A 20086-nucleotide genomic window follows, 5' to 3' on the forward strand; every position below is an offset into this window, starting at 1 on the left:
ACATACTGCATGCTTGAAAATCACTAAAAGAGTAGAATTGAAGTGTTCTCACCACAAAAAAATGATAAGTATATGAGCTAATGCATATGTTAATTAGCTAGATTTAGTCATTCCACATTGTATTCATATTTCAAAACATGTTGTACACCATAAATGTATATAATTTTTGTCTATTAAAGATAAATTTAAAAAAACAAATAATAATAAACAAGAACACAACTATTTTTAAACCTAAAACTTTAACACCAAAGGCAATGCATAATTTTGAAAATGAAGTATGTGGAAAATTTAAGCCATATCTTCAATTATTTCTCAAATATCCTCAATGTATATATTATAGGTAAAATGTACCAGAAACAAATTTCTTCATTTATTCAGCAGATCTTTAGTGAATTTCTACAATGTGCTAATGCATTAGGTGCAGAAGATTCATCAGTGATGAGGACAGTCAGAGTCCCTGTCATCAGTGGGCTTCAACTATAATGAGAAAGACAAGACAATGAAAAAGTAAGCAAATATATAAATAAGGTAACTATGGATTGTAATTAGAGTTTAGGAAAAATAAACATAATGAGATAGACAATATCTGTGGGAGGCTACTCTAGAGGAAGGCTAGTGAAGACTTCTCTGAGGAGGTGACATCTTTGCCAAATGTTGAGAATGAGAATGTCAGTCAAGTGAAATGGGGGTAAGAGGAGAGGAGGGAGAGGAAGCATTTCAGATAGAAAGATCAGCACATGCAAAGTCCTAGAGGAAGAAAAAGAGTTGGTGTGTTCAAACAATATACAGGAAGGAAGACGATGTTCTTGCACTATTGTGAATGAGGGGAGTGTTGTGCAGAGTGAGGTTGAATAGGGCACAAACCTATGGTTAGAAACTTGGTTTTATTCTGAGAGAAATAGGATAACATTGAAGGATTTTAAGCAAGGGATAATGCAATCTAACTTATCTTTTTAAATATCTTACTATTTTATGGGGAATGAGTAATTGGTGTTGTGGGAGTGATACGAAACAGAAAACCAATTCAGAGACTGTGGAAGGAGTCCTGGAAAGAAACAGTGCCTGGAATATGGTGGCTGTACAGATGGAGAGCAGTGAAGTGACTTGAGATGCGTTTTGGATCTGTAGGACTTGTTGATGGCTTGGAAAGAATGGGGAAAGAAAGAGTCATTGATTTTGGCTTGAATAATTCAGTGGACTGTGGTTCTGTTTCCTGAGTTGGGAAGGACTTTTTTGTCTTATGAGATGCCTATTACACATTCAAGAGGAGTTTGCAAGTAGGTGGTGGTGAAGTCTGGACTTTGATCTAGGTATAAATTTGAAATTTGTTATCATAGATGATATTTAAAAGTGCAGGAATGAATGTGACCACCGAAGGATGCTGCTGAAGAAATACGTGTAATAAGAACAAAAAAAAGTGATCATGGATTTGGCAACAAAAGGTTGTTGGCAACCTTAATAGATTGAAAAGTGACTTGAAAATAAGAAAGTAGAGCTAGCAGATGTAGACAATTCATTCAGGGAGTTTTGTTGAGGAAAGAAGGAGAAAGAGAACATGCTGGATTGGGGACTATGAGCTTAAGAGAGTTTTTGTTTTTTTTAAGATGGAAGATAGTGAAGGTATATGGGAGACAGTGAAAATATATGTAAAAATATATGGGAGATAGTGAAAATATGTGTGGAAATGATCTGACAGAGAGAATGGGTGGATGGTAGGGCATGGGGAGATGGCTGAAGCTGTGCACTTCTTGAGAAGGTGAGAGGGTTGGAGCAAAAGCGCCTGTGGAAACAATTTCTTTTGGTAGGTGTAAAGACACTTAAAATTGCAAAGAGGAAACATGTGCAGAATTGATTTGCACTATGAAGGAATTCTAATCTAGTAGTTTCTATTTTTTTAATGACTCTGTGGCAACATCCTCATCGGAAAGGATAGAGAGGAGGTTTAAAGAGAAAGGAAGGTCATCTTGGAAGGGGAAAAATGAACTTACTTGGGAAAAATTTTAACGTTGCTGGGGATTGGTATCTGATCATTTTAGGTCTGTTATCATGAAGTTACGGTGAAACCAAGAAGCCAATGTGTGATATTTTTTAGATTCAGCTGCTGAGTGGCAGGCAGGCAAGAGGAAGAGAACAAAAAAAGGTTCCCAGTTAATTACAATGGAATGAAATATGATGAGGAAGTTGAGGGTGTTTCCTAGAGAATGATTATAGTCATGGATCTTACATCTAGTTTGAATAAGAAGGAAAATGAACAGGATGGGAATGAAAAAGTAGTGAGGCCATGGATGAAGGTCAGAGTGAAGTAGAATGAATGAAGTGAACATTCTAGAATGAGCTAGAAGAAGAGAAGTATCAAAGTGGTAGATTTCAAATGGAAATTTTGGTGATGACTCATTTACTGATATTTACAAGGTGTCAGTTTTAACAACAGGAACGGTTGGCTAAAGTGGAAGAGAACTATATGGAGGTGAAATAGAAGAACTGGTAAACCAAGGTTTCTGATGAGACATCATGTGGTTGCTGAAGTCTGAAGGAATGTTAAATGCTGTAGGGGTAGAAGAAATGTAGGGAGTCAGCAATGTCTTCAATAAATGGGGGGCCATATGAATGAAGTCCATAGAGGAGAGCACAAGAAGGTGGGTGGCATAGCAAGATGGCGTAGCTTCAGAGAAGCTGTGGGTTTTGAAAGCTTTTGGAGAAATAAACTGTTTAGAAGCAGCTATGTGGGTCAAAAAGAACACCGGCTCCTTTTCTGTCCCTGAGACAGCTGCAGAGAAGAATTTTAGATAAGCACAGTGCAAAGGGTCATTTAAAGAAAAGGTGAAAATATGAGTAGGTTTGTTGGCCACAGATCTGAAGTTTCAGAAGGCACAGTGAATAGGTGAAGGAGGGGTAGGAAAGGGTTACTTGGGAAAGGTAACAAGATGTCACTCCTGTCCATACTGAATGTTTTGAAAAACTTGGATTTCAGAGAGTAATCGACTGTTCTCTTCTGAGTGCTGATGAGGTGATATAAAACACAAACCAGCCATACCCAGCTATTAGACACAGACATGCCCCGAGAAAATGTATGTAAAAACCACTCTGTGACACACAATTGCATAAATGTTTGAAATCTTTGAACTATCACTCATGTGTATTGTGGAATGTTTGCATGATTAAATGTTAGGTTGCAGCATTTACTTAAGGAGCCTCATTGGGTTCCCACTTCTGTTTTGTGGGTGATCAGTTTTTAGGCTGGGCTAGACTTGGAAATTTCTCTTGTCACTGAGAGTTGCTGGGTAGAAACTTACAGAATGAAACTTTCAGGTTAGAATAGAAAACACATGTTGAGTTGCTGGTTATAGGCATTGTTTTTTTCATATTGCAGTGTAGAGGGCAAAACATCTCCTTGAGAAACAGTGGACTAAGACTCTGTTATTTTGAATTTGAATTCTGAGTGACTGTAGACACAGAGCCTGGATTAGTGCTGTCATACAAAAAATCAGCCACAACAACACGCATATGGGAAAAGAACAGCATTGTCAGGAAAAAATGGACACTAAGAGAAAGAAGAAAGCAGAGGCAAGAGGCTCCAGGCTTCACTAATTCCTAGCGAGTAGATTTAATATAAGAACATCACTGTTCATTTATAGGTTTTTTTTGTGTGTAATTATGCTAATGCATGTACAGTAACCTTTTAAATTTCAGTTTCCTAATGTTGGTTGTTATGCTCAATCACTTTTGTTTTTTTTTCCTCCTAAAGTCCCAAGACAAAGAATATCTCTTGATACTATTAAATATAGATGTCTGGACTGAATTGAGCTTACACGACAATTGCAGTCAAGATTCTGCAACTCAGAACGGGCAAACCAGGTAAGCGGTGCCATTTTTAGAACGTTGTTTTAATAAGGTTTATTCCTGTCTTGGTCGGCTGCATTTTACATTTGTAATCGTCAGGCTGTGAGTGTGAAGAGTTATTGCCATGACGACCAGGACTGACTGACTTGCCTTTCAGAAATGGTAACGATTCAGCATGTTTGTAGATGATATCTGTGGTTCTCAATGACTTTCTAGAAGGTCATACGGTTTTGGCAGATGTTCCCAGTGGTGTGGAAAGACTACTGGATGAGAAAAAATGTGAACTGTGTTCTAGTCCTGCCTCTCCCTGAACCAGGTGTATAGCCTCAGGAAAATCTCCACCTATTGGGGGCCTCAGTTTCTTCATCCATTTAATAGGAAGCTATAGCTAGGTTATATAGTCTTTAAGGTTGTTTACAGTTCCAAATTTCTCTGATTTCTTACACTTATATATTTATGAGACTGTTGAGCAAGGTAGTCTATCTACTCACTTCATAATCCTGTCTTCACTTTTAAACGTTTTGTGAATTCTGTATTTTTAAATCTTACCTTCAGAACTGGTTTGAATCACAAAGAAAAACACTTCTTAATTTTATAATTTTTGATCCAGATTTTTATTTTTTAAAAAACCAAACAGCTCCAAACACTTGCAGGTTAAAAATTATCCGCGAAGAAAGAACAGGTCTAAAAATGTTTTGAGCAATTGTAGCTTGATTGGGATACAAGTGTAATTTTTCAAGGTAATAGATCTGAATGCCTCAACTCATTTGATACACATGTGTACACTGGATTTTTTAAAAAATATCAAAGCCTGCACTTCAACCAGCGGTTATTTTGATTATTGTTCGCAATAAAAACATGAACTAACTGCTTTGTGAATATGTTCTTTGTTCTTCTTGGCTGCGTATAGTGGCTGGCAATCCTTTTTAGCCATCATATATAATAGCTATCTAACTCTTGATTTTTGTGTAACATAAAGCGGTGTTTCATAATGAATCATTTTGTCTGTTCGTGTTCAAGTGCCCTATCTATTCTATCATTTGAAAAGCTAGTTATGATAGTATGGTTTCAATTGTCAGACATTCTCTTTATTCTAAAAAAATAGGTTGACCCACATTTAGATGTTTTCCTACTCAAAGGACTTTGAAAGAACTTTTTATGTAACACTTAGTCATTGCCCTTTTCACAGTCCCTCTTCCGCTGCTTCTAATTAGGCTCTTTGGTAGCTGGAATCGTCATTTCCCTGGCATGAAGGCACATGGTACCAACTTGTTGGTTGCTTGATTTGGAGGGTCAAATATGGACTTGCTTCTTTTGGTCTACCTTGCTATTGTGCTTTTTGCAGGTGGAGTTGACTTAGGTTTGTCTTTTCACTTTGGCCTTTCTTATCTGTTCACGTTTTCATCTTTATTTCCTAGTCTTCTCCCTCTATTCTCTGACATTCACTTAATCTAACCCCTTTTATCAGGTCTTCCAATATTTCCCTTTCTTGTGCCTTAAATGTTTCTAGACTTTCATCTGAATTTATGTGCTTACCTTGATCTTTTCTCATTTTCTAATACTTATAAGCTCATGTCTTCATATCAAGGCGGGCTTCATGGGCACATGACCTATGCAGGTACACGCTTAGAAGGACCCCACACTTGGTTTAGTGCTCTGCTCTTACCATCTTATTTTTTTTAATACGTTTTGAACAAGAACCTCTGCCTGTTCATTTTGTATTGGTCCCCACAAGTTAGGTAGATGTTCCTGGTTGTAGTTATTTTTTCCCCTTTCTAGTTGGGTAAGTGGTTTTTGTTTTAATCTTGAATTCTTTTTCATTCCTCATAATATTTTTAATTTATTCCCTTCCTGTGGTACACTATTCTGACTGCTATTTTAATGTAGTCATATTAGCTCCTTTTATTTCTCACATCCTTCAGGAACATTTAGCTTTATAGAAAAATTGTATATAGTCAACTTTTTATTAGCCACCCTGACTAAGAAAGAAGAGAATGAGAGAATCAATAAAGATTGCAGTTCGCAAAGGGAATAATTTTGGGAGAGCACTGTATGGTTTTTCCCCTTTGTGAGACTTATCTTTTTATTCTTGTTTGCTCAGGTTAATTGGTTTGCACTCCCTGAATACACAATAATTGGTGGTTGGGGGACCCTGCTGAGTGGCAGAGGTTAGCTAACCTGAAGTTAAATATCTCTACTAACAAAGGAGATTGATTGTCCCTATATTTTCTGTTTCTAGACATAAGAAATGAATCATTTTTTGGTTTTCAGTTTTACCTGAGGAGATTAGTAGGATGTAAAGACTTTTCTAATAATATTAAAACACCATTTTTGGATTTGACAAACCAAATTTCCCATCCTTATCTTTTTATCTGGTGGCAGTCTGAATCAATTTACCCTGTGATCCTGTCTGCTGGGAAGCATTGAAATAGTAAGGAAGTCTGATGTGCCTGCAGGTTAATCCAGCTGTCTGGGTGTAAGTTATTATTATTATTTTATTAAAAACAGTTTATGTCACTTATTAGGTGCCAGGCATTTTTCTACACACTTAAAAATACAATTTGATTTAATCCTATGAGGTAGGTATGATTAATTATCCCTATAATATAGTTTAAGAAACTGAGGGAAAAGTAAGTTATATGACTTTCCCAAAGATACTGCCATTTAATGTTAGAATGAGGATTTGCACCAGGACAGCCTAGTTCAAGTTCCTGTGCCTACACCCTATATCATGCTGCTGTTCTTTTATTATTATTATTATTTTTAATTTTATCTATTCAGCCCCTTATAGAGTTGGAAGTCTGGATGACTGACGGAATAAAGCCTTATGGTAAAGGACTTTCTAAAAGTCTCTATTTCTTTACTTTTCTTCAGTTGGCAATACATAATAACAATGTAAGTGATTCACAATATGTAAACATCTAAACAAACCTAGATACTAAAACTGCATGTGACTCTAAAGTGAAAATATCTGAGATGCCACATGGTTCTTACTGAGACAAATACTTGACAGTATATTCCTGGGGACTAACGTTAAAGAGATGCTTCACTAACTGTCACAATCCCTTTTGGAAACTTGTGATCACAGCTGGTGACATCCCTGACATCTTTTATCTGTTCCCATACTTTTTCTTTCGGCTAGACATTACAGACTGTGGAGTTAGATGGCCAATCAATGTGCTGCTTCAGAATCAATAGATCTCAGTAAGCATTCCATTAGGCCCAGGAGCCTTTCCATTTCTCAGTTCTGTCTGGGCTTTGCACATTCTTTCATGAAAAAAGAGAGTTTGGGGATTATTTTCTCTACCTGTAGCTTCTCATGGACAAATGAATCCCCTATCATTATAGAAATCTAGTCAATAAAGCTGTCAGAATTCTTAAAACATTGACAGTAAAGCCAAGTTCGTGTACCTAACCTCTGTAGTAAGTTCTGAGTGTGAAATATAAGAGGAGGAAATGATATTTATAAGAAAGTGCCTTGAAGTTAAAAAAAACACAAGGTAAAAATATTAGATGATAGAAAAGAATCATGAACTTGCAAGTTGGGAGAACTGAGTTCGTGGCTTGGTTTTGCTACTGAGAATTCTGGTTAGTTAAATCTCTGCAAAATGAGTGAATTTAACCTGATAATTGTTAGTGTTCAGAACAATTAACCTGATAATTATTAGTGTCCAAATGCCACATTTTTTAACTTTAAATAATTTTACTCCCACAAGCCCATTTCTATCCCAGGTTCCCAGACAGATAGACATCTGTGGAATTTGCATGTTCCAAAGTAGTACGAGAAATGGCACAGGACTGTTGTTAGTATGGCCTCTACTCCTTTCTCTTTCTAGCACCTAAGCATCAAGGGTGGAAAGGGAGACTGGAAGTGCAAGTCTGAAAGGAGAAAAAAGAAGGTGAAACCAGTCTGCAGGAGAAATGACTGGGAATTTAGAAGGAGTGGGCACCCACAAGAGAAGAGAAGACACGAAGTGAGAAAAGGCTGCTGCTTGCCAAGGCACTTTTAAGAACGGGACATCTTATCACTTTTCAGTTGTTTGAGCTTCTTGCTCCCCAGACTTTCAGCTAAAATTGTGGCTGTTTTGTTGGCGGAAATCAGTGAAAAGAAAATGAGTTCTGTGTCTAGTTCAGTTTACAGCAGAGGCAAGACGATGCCTGAAGCAGGTGGCAAGGAGTGAAAGGGGAGTGTGCATGGAAGCAGCAGGTCAGAGCCAGAGTTTATCATGAAAGTCTGAGCCCTCGCAAACATGGTTCATGCACAACCCATAAAATTTCATCAAACTCTCAGTCTCAAAAATTTGTGTAGGAAGAGCCTGACATGAATGCTGCAAATACATGATTATTATTCCTAGACATATCTAAGGGCATCTAAAATTATAAAATTTATAGTGATATTGCTTAAATTACATTTTTGAATATCTCACTCATACATGTATTACCTATATTATTATACTGTTAATTATACCTTCATTGATTTTTTTTAAATTTTATTCTTTTGTTTTAAGTTTAGATGTGGATGCATTTTCTAAAAACTACAAGATTACCCAAACAGAACCGATTGAATTTCAAGGTTAGGAAGTTTTTCTAATAATAATTTATGGTCCAAGTATAATGTGATGAAGTGTGCTTGTAGGTACCAACCTGAGACTATATTTGGCAAGAGTTGAATAAAATATGGGGGAAATGATTTCTAGCCTTGTTAGAAATGCCCTCAGAATGCATTGTTATTTCTAAAGAATGCTGCATTGTATATATGCAGATATTTTTCAGCCAAATCGCTGAATTTGTAGAGATTTCATATCACATAAGATTTGTTTCCAATGCATTTTCTTCTGAAACTATAAGAAGACTAGCTTCTCTCTTAATTTCTAAGAAAAATGTTATAAACCTTTATTATGATGGTACAATTTATGAAACAATGTAAATTTTACATTTTCACTTTTGAGAGTTATTTTTCCCCAAGCCTCTGCCTTTTTTGAGTATTTGCAAAGCTCTGCAAATGACAGGCGCATCCACAATGCAAAGAATAATCTTCCTTTGGGGCTGTTCCTGGGGTAGTGATTAGTAGCGTCTTCACTGAATATTTAACTTCCTCAAAACTGCTTATCTGTGCTGTGGATCAGTGCAAGATCTGGGTGAGCTGTTGCTACTTTACATAATTAAGTTTCTCTTGCCAAAAAAAGAGAAAGTAACAAAATATGAAGCAAAAGAAGCCGAAAGTTGGACTTTTAAAACATTCTCCCTTCATGTTATTTTCTCATTGAAAATAACCTGAAACAAAAGCAAAATATTTGAGATTTAGGAGGGAGTTTATGCAGATCAGTCAGGTTGACAGCTCACATTTTCTTGCAAAACTCTTAGGAATTTTCCTCCGCAAATCCCTCCGCAGTCAGTGATAAGTACTAAATGCCACAAAGAAAACAATTTCCCATTGTTCAAAAACTGACTGGTGAAGTATTGTGGGTGAGGCAAAAAAGAGGGTAGGGAGAGAAATTCTATTGTAGGGAAACTAATGCCAGACAGAGCTATTAACTCAAATGTACTGAAATGATAGATAATTCAAGCTTCTCATGTCACTTTAAATTAGTAAAAAATCACTGCACAGGATTTGTGCTTAATCCCATTTTTTATATGTAGAAAATAGGCCCCAGAATTAGGTTGACGTGTACTTTTAATGTGTAGATAGGACATCTACTCACTTTCTAGGCATGTGTGGATGAAAAAGACTTTGCTTGCTTAGTTGCACGTCATTCTTAGTTCCTTCTCTTTTGAGTGTGCTAGCGTACCCAATGGAATCCCCTCCCCTGTATTTATTGAACGCTATAATGTATGGGGGTGTCTTTTCCTGGTTAGTGTAATAGGAAAAATTGCATTTGCTTATCTATTGCAAATGAAAATCATCTGGGGAATATAAAAAGCATTTTCAATTCTGCTACCATTATTTCAGAAGCAATCAAATGCAGAGGAATGAAAGTCAAACACGGAGAAAAATGCTGATGGATTGGGCAATGTGCATGGCTCTCTGGGACCATCATTATTTCAGTATTCAAGAGGAAAATGCACATTTGAAAGATGGTAAATTCCATCACATACAATCAATCATTCATCTCCTCTAGCAACAATAATTGTGGAGGAGATAGTGTTCAGACATTAACTAGGTAGTCATCCCTGCTTGTTTGTTAGTTTGTTTCAAGGCATACTAAATCTTATGCAACGTTATGTGGACATCTCAGATGATTTTCAGATATTGGTACTTAGTACCAATCACCTGCAAATAATGAGGTCAAAGTAAACACTGCAACCTCAAAGGGCAAGATGCTTAGCATTGTCTTTCATCTAAAACATTTTGTCCTTTCATTCCAGATTTTAAAAATAGGTTATCTGCCTGCATTTTATGCATTTTTCTATCTTTATAATCTGAAGGTGATTTTATTAATACAGTAAATCTTGGTCAAGTGATACTTTAGGAAGATGCTTTTTCTGGGTAAACTAAAAGCCTGACGTGGCTCTTCCTGATGTTCTTAAATATTTTATTAGCAATGTCTCTCCTCACCCCTTGCCTATTCATAGTCTCTTTCAGTTTAATGATATAAAGCAGGTGGTAGGGTTGTCAAAACTGGGTTTCCATTAGAAACAATCTCTGGGAATGTGGTGTATTTTCTCCCTTATTTTTCTCATTATTAGATATCTCAGGCTCAAAGGCCCATATGGCAGTTTGGAGAAAGATATGTCCTGTTCAAAACCAATGTTCTGAGAGTTTGAGAGCCGTGAAATCAGATATCATAGTTTTTACACTTTTTCAAAGCTTTCAATTGTGAATTCTGGATTTCTCTTTTTCTTTCGAACTCTGAAAAAAGCCCAATCTCTAACAGCACCTCCCCTCCCACCCCCTTCTGGTACTGGCTGTAGCAGTACTTAGGAAGGGAAGAGTGTCTTACAGGAGGTGGAGACACATTTATACACCAGTCTTCATGCTTGGGAAAAAGCGATTTAGTCACTGTTAACTTCTTTAATTATTGATGGTTCAGAAAATGTTATCTTTCTTATCTTTTATTTGTAACACTTTTCCCTAAATAAAAGTGAGGCTGGATATTCAAATTATTATTTAGTGCAAGAAACTAAAAATAGCTTTCCCTCTTTTTAGATTTTTTTTGACAACAGAGATGATACATTATATGTGTATATTTTACCTTAATAAAAAGACTTAAAAAAAAAGAAAATTAAAGAGAAAAATAGAAAGAAAGGTAGGAAAGGCATAGAAGGGGATATGACACTTTAGAATCTCCTAGCTTAGAATGTGACAGAAGGAGAGTGTTAGTAAAACTGAGGAGGCTGGGTGCGGTAGCTCACGCCTGTAATCCTAGCAATTTGGGAGGACGAGGTGGGCTGATCACTTGAGGTGAGGAGTTTAAGACCAGCCTGGCTAACATGGTGAAACCCCATCTCTACTAAAAATACAAAAAATTAGCTGGGCATGGTGGCAGGCCCCTGTAATCCCAGCTACTCGGGAGGCTGAGACAAGAGAATCACTGGAATCCGGGAGGTGGAGGTTGCAGTGAGCTGAGATCGACCCATTGCATTCCAGCCTGGGCAACAAGAGTGAAACTCCATCTCAGAAAAAAAAAAAAAAAAAAAAAAAAAAAAGAGGGCCATTCCCTGCTTTATTTGACATAATCTAAAAGCTCCTATCATTTCCTCCTTTTAAAACCTTTTATTGAAATACAATATACACACAGAAATGGGCACATATCATAAGTACATAGCTGGATGCATTTTCACAAGCTCACACACCAGGTAATCAATACCCCAGACCAAAACAAACAAACAAACAAACAAACAAACAAGAAGCAGGCCTAACAGCATCCAGAAGCCCTCCTCGTGTTTCCTTCCAGTTACTACCCCTCTCTCCCAAGGGTGACTGCTATCCCAACTTCCAGCAGCATAGCCTGTTTTTTGTCATTTGGCATATATAAATGAAAAATATTATATATACTATATATATAGTATATATGTATAAATAAATAGTTTATATATGTCTAGATATCTCATAGTGTATATACTGTATATATTACATATTGTATACACTATATGACATGTACTATATATCTATAATAATGTAGATAGTATATATCTATATATACTAGTATACTATATACAATAAATGGAATAATGCAGAATACACTCTTTTGCCTGCCTTCTTTCACTCATATTGTGTCTGTGAGATTCCTCTATGTTGTTGCATGCTGTTTTAGATTGCTCATTGATCCACTACCTTCTAACTATTTTAATTTGATATTATACTTGTGAATAGCCATTATTTTTCCTTAGCGAGATGAGAGTGATTAAGAGCACAGAATTTGGAACCAGGATATCTGTGTTGAAAGCCCAATTCTTCTACTTATTAAGTATATCATTTTAGGTAAGTTATGCAAAGTCTGTTGCTTTAATATCTTTATCTGGGGGGCAGATAATATCTTCCTTGTGGGGTGGGCCCTTAATGAGGTATATATTAACTTTCACTAATATGTGTAAAGCATTTAGAGTGTCTGGCATATGTTTAGCACTATGTAAGTGTAAGGTATTATTGGTTCTAACTTGTACTTCATTTTTCTCCTTCTATATTGCTTCAGTCTCTGAGCACAGACTGGAGGAATAATGTATGCTAACTCATCAACATAGGGAAGAGGTGCTTTTGGCAGAAATAAAAGAGGTTCTTGACATCACTTGCCTTTTGCTCCTACTCTATTAATTTAATTTAATTTTTTTTTTATTATTTTGTTGTTGTTGTTGAGATGGAGTCTCGCTCTGTCGCCCAGGCTGGAGTGCAGTGGCGCAATCTCGGCTCACTGCAAGCTCCGCCTCCCGGGTTCATGCCATTCTCCTGCCTCAGCCTCCCAAATAGCTGGGACTACAGGCGCTCGCCGGCACGCCCGGCTAATTTTGTTTTGTATTTTTAGTAGAGACGGGGTTTCACCATGTTAGCCAGGATGGTCTCGATCTCCTGACCTCGTGATCCGCCCACCTCGGCCTCCCAAAGTGCTGGGATTACAGGTGTGAGCCACTGCGCCCGGCCACCTCTATTAATTTTAGACATAAGTATATACATTTAATTTTCATTGGTTTGTTGTTAATTAAAAACCGTAATTACTCACTGGAAAAATAATAAATAATAACATGTAGCATATGGTGATGAAAATGTAATTTACTCAACAACTATATTTCCTCACAAAATCATACAGAGAAGTATTAGCCGTAGAAACTTCATACTTTTGCTTTAATCCACTTTCTTGACCCATTATTTACTGTTAGTGTTGACAGCATGGAACTACCTTTGCAGCATTTATGATTTAAAGTATTTTATGGAAAAGGTGGTGAGGAAGAGTTGGTACCACAACCTGAAAAGTGACTAAAATATTTTCCACCTTCCCTTCATCTCTTCACCTCCACTCACCTTTTCTTCATCTACCACTCCCACCCCATCTCCCACTTCCTTACACCCTCCAGGGTGAGCTGGGAACAATAGTGTAATACCATTTAGCTACAAAAAATAATACACTATTAAATACAAAATAGTTTATTTTTTCCTATCTTTGGATATTGTCCCAACTAGTATCACACGTAGGAAAGAGTCTTACAGACTTGAAAAAGGTTTATAGAAAACAAAATTTTTAAAATAATAAAGGTATTAGAATGTGTATAGACATTATATTATTTAAATTGGACATTAAATTTTTCAGTATATAGCTTACATTTTGTTATTTCTGAAAACTTAGTTCTATGAAAAAGTTCTAAATGCCATTGGGCGCTATGATTTTTCTGAGAAAGTAGTTGAAGAAATTTCAACAAAAATTGCACTGCTATTGTCTTTTGCCTTAGCTTAAGAAATTTATTTCCCATTTTTATTGGTATAAAATGTGTGTAAACAGAATTTCTAGAAGACATAGGATGCAGATATTATAAAGCCTTAAGAGTAGCTTAGACTTCCCTATCTTATAGAGAATTGCTTAACCAGTTTCTCATATATAAAATTGTAAACAATACTTTAATTTTAGGGTTTATCTCAAAATACAAATCACTGAACATTTCTGTCAAAGTAAATAACTACTTTGGTCTTATTAGCTCCTCATGCTGCGAGGAAGCAAGTATGCATATAGACATGTGATACTAGTAAACTTAGTTTTGAGTAAATTTATCTATATAAAACAAATGTTAAATATTTGAGTAAGTCCAGTTCCATGGAAATCAACCCAAGCATGGAAAAACGTAATCTTACTACATAATGTAATTGTATAGAGGCCTCATGAGTATAGCCAGGGTTCTCTTGAGTATTTCAAGGTGAAATTAGATTAGTGATATTAAAAGCATGTTTGGGGGTTATATACTTTTCCTTTGCTTCACATTTTTATATTATCATCCATCTTTCTCAAAGTGTCTCCCCAACTAATGGTTATGTATGTGAGTTGGAGTGAATAAAACAATGTATGGCCTTTCTGTACTAGTAGACCAACCCTAAGGGAATATTACTGGAGTACTTTCAGAAGAGTTAGGATAGGGTTATTTTTCTAGTCCATTTTGTGCTACCATAACAGAATGCCTAAGACTGGGTAAAAAATAGAAATGTTTTTCTCACAGTTCTGGAAGCTGGGAAGCCTAAGATCAAGGAACTGAAAGAGTTGGAGTCTAGTGAGGACTGAGTCTCCACTTCCAAGATGGTGCCTTGAATGCTGCATCCTCCAGAGGCAGGGAACGCCATTCCTCACATGGCAGAAGAGTGGAAGAGCAAGAAAGAGAAACTCACTCCTGAAAGTCCTCTTTAAAAAAGCATTAAGCTTGCCCATGAAGGTAGCGCCCTCATGACCTAATCACCTCTTAAAGGTCCTACTTCCCAATACTATTACATTGGACATTAAATGTTAACATGAATTTTGGAAGGAACAAGCATTCAAACCATAGCAGTGGACCCCCTTTGCCTGGAACAGTCTGCTTTTAGCACTGAAAGTCTCGTGTTCTAGGAAATCTTTCAGTTGGGGGCAAACTGGAATGGTTGGTCACCCCAACTTCTTCCTACCCCTAGATATCTCTACCATTGGCCTGTCACAGAATCTGGAATGAATCCATAGGCTAGCACTATGTTTTCACGAATCATATGTTAAAATGCACCAAGACAGTACATTAATACGAGTTTTCATTATTCATTTTTTAGTGGGAATATGTTTTTAGCTATGTAGCTCCCACTTCAGACAACAGAGAGCTGAGCCACGACTGAAGAGTAATTATTGATAGTGGGGAGGAAAAGGAAAGAACAACCGTTTGTTAAGCACATGCTACGTTTAAGGAGTCCTGATGGGCTTTTAATATTAATAGAAACAGTTCAGAAATCAGGCACTGGGTACATGGAGAGGGTAGGAGATTGAGTTAGCGAGTGGGGAGATAAGAAGCAAATCCTCTAAAAGAAATTAAGTCATTACTTAGCTGAGTGGAGAAGATAGCTTTCAGGTCAAACCCCAGATTTGCATTTGTATTTTGACTCTGCGTCTTTCTAACAGTGGAATTGTGACCAAAAGTCTTAACCCCAACACTGAGTTTTCTCATCGCTAAAACTGGAATATAATACTTTCCCCAAGGGGTTCTATGTTTTGTGCAAATTAAATGAAGTAAAGTGGGTAGAATATTTAGTGCCTACTACCTAACAAGCACTATATACACGTTTGAAGCTGCCACTCCTACTGTTACTGTTGGTACATTTATTCAAGGACGCCTTGCTCAGAAAGCCCTGGCTTCTCATTTATCCCCACTTTTGAGGGCCTATCATTGCTTTGTCTCTTTGACATGTAAGCTATTTGATGTCTTTGCTGAAAATCACTGGGTTTCTTGTTGCATATATGCACATGGCCACACAATCAGAAGAAAAAAAAACAAAACAATGAAAAGCAATTGACTTTGCTTATAAAATCATTATCACAGCAGTATTGTTTTTCTTCTGTGCCTCATTCTGAGTTCCATTCTTTTGGGGTTTTCCCAGGCATCAATTCAATGCTTCCAATTTTTATGGGATTTAAGTTACATTTAAGGGGCTATATAAATGCAAAAAAGGGAACAAGTTTGGGACTTCCAAATCTGTGCTATCAAAAGGACTGCACGAAATTTTTCATTTTCTTCCACATAACTCTGCCTGAACGTTATTTATGGTTCGAGCAAAATAGTAGACATGGAATAAGAATTCATTCAGCTAAGGCATCTCGGTTATTCATAGGTGAACTGAAGCCCTAAACTATCATCAAATTTCACTAGCAACATTCCAATGATGCAGTCATATAAAATTGAAATTGTAATGAAATGTAACTTTACATGTATTCATGGATTTAAAAGGAAAAAAGAATACCATTTCCTCCTATTGGTGTCAATTTAAAGTCCCTATTTTTTTTAAATCGAGGTGCCTACTAAAGATAGGCCCAATATTTTTGGCAAGAGGAGAACTTTTTTCATTGGTGTTTATTCTCCAAATAAGAATTACATGTAAACACTTGTAATTGATCTTTAAAGCCTTTCTTGACATAAATATAAAAAGCAGACTATCACAGATTGCCAAATTTGTAAGATATGGCAAAAAGTATTTGGTATCATCTATTCATGTTACATGTAAAAATTTTGCTTTGAGATCGCATACACATATTAGGTGAGTCACATCTGTGTCTTTTAATTTCAATTCTCTTTCTGTTACATTACACTGCTTTTCTTAATGAAAAATTTTAGCAAATAGTATTGAAATAGGATTTTAAGGAAAGAGTGTGAAAATAGAGGAGTGCCTTCCAGAATGCCAAATAAAGTCCAGTAGTTTTAATAATTTTAAAATATTGATAAAATAAAGAGTTAATTCATATTGTCAGGAAGAGCATAAGGGAGATTAAGCAAAGTAACATTTTTTTTTTTTTTTGAGATGGAGTCTTGCTCTGTCACCCAGGCTGGAGTGCAGTGGTGCAACCTCAGCTCATCGCAACCTCTGCCTCCTGGGTTCAAGTGTTCTTCTGCCTCAGCCTCCCGAGTTGCTGGTATTACAGGCACCCACCACCATGCCTGGCTAATTTTTTTGTATTTTTAGTAGAGATCAGGTTTCACCATGTTGGCCAGGCTGGTTTTGAACTCCTGACCTGAAGTGATCCACCCGCCTCAGCCTCCCAAAGTGCTAGGATTACAGGCGTGAGCCACCGTGCCCGGCCACAAAGTAACCTTTTGAAATAGAATCTAAAGTGCCCCAAAATGGCTTTTTAATGAAATTCTAGTGAAAATCCTAAGGAAATGATGTATTACTATTTACTTATTAACCTATGAGAATACATACTATGCTTTTTATTTTTCTCTTGAAAGTAAAGAAATAAAAGTAATGGTTAACCAAGCCCCATTTATTTCTGGTTTCTAACGCCATTTAGTTCAGAGTTTCTTAAAGTGAAGTCTTTAAACCGTGAACATCAAAATTAATGTAATGCTTCTTAAAAATGCAGTTTCCAGGCCATCCTTCAAACTTACTGAATTACAATCTTTGAGGAATGGGGCCTACAAGTCAGTCCTTTAACAACCTCCCCAAATGACTCTGAAGTACAATAATGTTTAAGAACCATATTTAAATTTTACTCTTCCATGTTGATTAATGATTTGATATCACAGATTAAGTAAAAGATGGTTTCTTTTGCATTACTTAAGTTTTAGTGTCATTTGAAGAAGTGGCTGTACTGGTCCTTTGCAGTGATTTTTAATTTTATTGTTACGTGGAATAAATATTTCATTGTATGTGGTAGAATCTGACAGCCTATCGAAGAAATTTCTTAGAACATTAACAGGTGAGTCTGTAAGCTGTGCCTTTGTTGGGGCAGCTCTTTGGCATAAACCAATGGGATTTGAGTAATGGGCCATATGTCTGTTACAATTCTGTAAAAAAATTGGCTTACTTCAGAGATGGAAAAATGATGCCATCAAGCAGGAGTTGACAATGTTTTCTTTTCTGCAAAAGGCCAAAGAGTATTTTAGGCTTTGCAGGCCATACAATCTCTCTCGCGACTACTGAACTCCACTGTTGTAGTGTGAACACAGTCATAAACAATACATAAATAAAAGGAGCATGTCTGTATTGCAATAAAACTTCATTTACAAAAACTTTAATTACAGTCTGAATTAAGCCTGTGGACCAGTGTTTGTTGATCCCCTAACATAGACCATTTAATATGTGATTCAATCAATATTTAAGGTAAAAGCAATAGCACAAATATTGAATATTTACAACCTGAACGTATATGAGAACATTGATAAAATGGATTTAAAAATACAGTGTTTGCTTCCTGTTCTATTTTTCTTTATTTTCTTTCCTTATTGGTGATACAATGGCCCTACTGTGACTAATCATTGTGGTAGACTGTAAATGTAGCCACAGATTGGCCTCTCATCAAGAGCTTAAGTCTATTTCCACTGCCCTTTAAGCTGGCCCTGTGATGATCTCCGTACAACAGGATGCAGCAGAAGTGTTGTGTTAGTTCTAACTTTAGACTTAAGAAGCCTTTCAGCTTCCACTTTCATGCTGGGAATCCTGATGAAGAAAGAAAATTCATGTGGGGAGAGGTCTCAGCTGCCTTCATCATCTTAATTGTCTTTATTGAGGTCCACATGAGGCCCACACGTATAATTGGACCCACCTGAGGAAAGGTAAGCCCAGCCCAAATTATCAAGCCCCAAAGCGGTGATCTAAATAAGACAGTTTTTGTTTTTAAGCCACTATGTTTTAGTGTGATTTATTATGCAGCAACCTATAACTGATACAAACAGGTAGCAAGGTCATGAGCTGAGAATGAAAAGGGGGTGGATGTGTTTGAGGTTTGCATCAAAGGTATGGCATGGAGAAAGTGTGAGATGGTACATCTGTGAGTATCCTAGAACGGACAAGGGAAATACAGTAGGGTGCTGAAGAGTACTGAGTTCACTTGAGGTGAATAAACTTAACATACTTTATGAACTTAAAATAAGGCCAGTTAGAATGGTTGTGTGGTTTTTGCCCCAAAATGTTCCAGCTGTGCAGATACAGACAAAAAGTGGAGAGTTGAATTTAAATATGGGTGGCGAGGTTTTATCAGGTGAACATGATAAGGGTAGAGAGAGGAAATTGGACTAGGCATTTATTATAATCAATGAGAATGATTATAATAATAACCTGGGTACAGACGAAACTGAGGCTATGGCGACTCTGAGAGACTTTGTAAACATCAATGGATTGTTGGTTCCAGTGGGGTCAAAGAACTGTTGGGCCAAAGTTCTACAGGAAGTGAGCTGGTAAGATAGGAGCTGGGTTGCCAGAGAGTGCAATACTTGAAATTAAATCATGCAGAAGACAACAGTTTTGTGATGTGGCAATTTGGCCCAGCTGAACTTTTTTTTTTTTTTTTCCCCCAGAATTCCTTCCCTGCCTGTTTCTATTTAGGGAGGGTGGTTGTGAAGTAGCAGCCATTTTGTTTTTATGCTCAAAATGTTGGGCAGGATACTTTTGTAGCTCACATATGTTGTTGCTTCTCTGCTGGCTCATTTGATGGCTATGGGGCAGCAGCTCAGCCTGCCACCACCTCTAGATGTTTCTTCAGCTTCTCCAACTCCAAGGCTGGGTGAGTGTTTGCTCCCTAATGAGGTACACTAACTTTTTCTGCAGGATGCCCATGTTATCAAGGTTGGAGGCAGTGAGAGACTGGTTGGGTTCCAGTCTGTCCTCACAGGTTTCCAGTTGTCCTTACTTTTCTCTACTTTATTTCCAGCCTCCCTTTTTAACTATATGCTTTGTGGACTTCAGGCTGCAGCATCTGACTTGAAGACAAAAAAGCCTTACAGAGAATGAGTAGCCGGCTCTCTCAAGTCTGTATGGTTCAATCCCTGTTAATCTATCATCTAATCTGGCTAATCTTTAGTGCTTCTGTTTCTCTGAATCTTAACTGACATAGAGGGGATACTGTCTTAGTTATAGGTATTGATAACAAACTCCAGGATATAAAGATGTAAATGAGGGGATGGGGAAGAGTAAACAACAGGCTTATTGGAAGACAGGAGGTCAAGCAAGTGAAATGCAAACGTATTGCAAGGATTGTCTTTGTGGACATTGAACTCACCAAAAATTAGGACCAAAATAGTGTTGGAAAGAATAATACTGAACCCAGAAGCTAAAATCCTCAAAAACTTTGGAGTCCCCATTGAGAGGCTCTGGATATAACAGCTACAA

General features: G+C 36.9%; 1 long non-coding RNA gene across 1 annotated transcript in view; it reads left to right on the forward strand.

Moving 5' to 3' along the window:
• The first annotated feature begins 389 nt into the window (after positions 1 to 389).
• LOC124904475 (uncharacterized) overlaps positions 390 to 20086 on the forward strand; it is a 765263-nt gene continuing 745566 nt past the window's right edge. The window contains exons 1-3 of the long non-coding RNA XR_007066777.1: positions 390 to 507; positions 3746 to 3855; positions 14476 to 19481. This is a non-coding gene — a long non-coding RNA (uncharacterized LOC124904475). The remainder of the gene's footprint in view (positions 508 to 3745; positions 3856 to 14475; positions 19482 to 20086) is intronic.

This window comes from Homo sapiens, chromosome 1 (genome assembly GCF_000001405.40).
Source record: "Homo sapiens chromosome 1, GRCh38.p14 Primary Assembly".
Classification (NCBI taxonomy): Eukaryota; Metazoa; Chordata; class Mammalia; order Primates; family Hominidae; genus Homo; species Homo sapiens.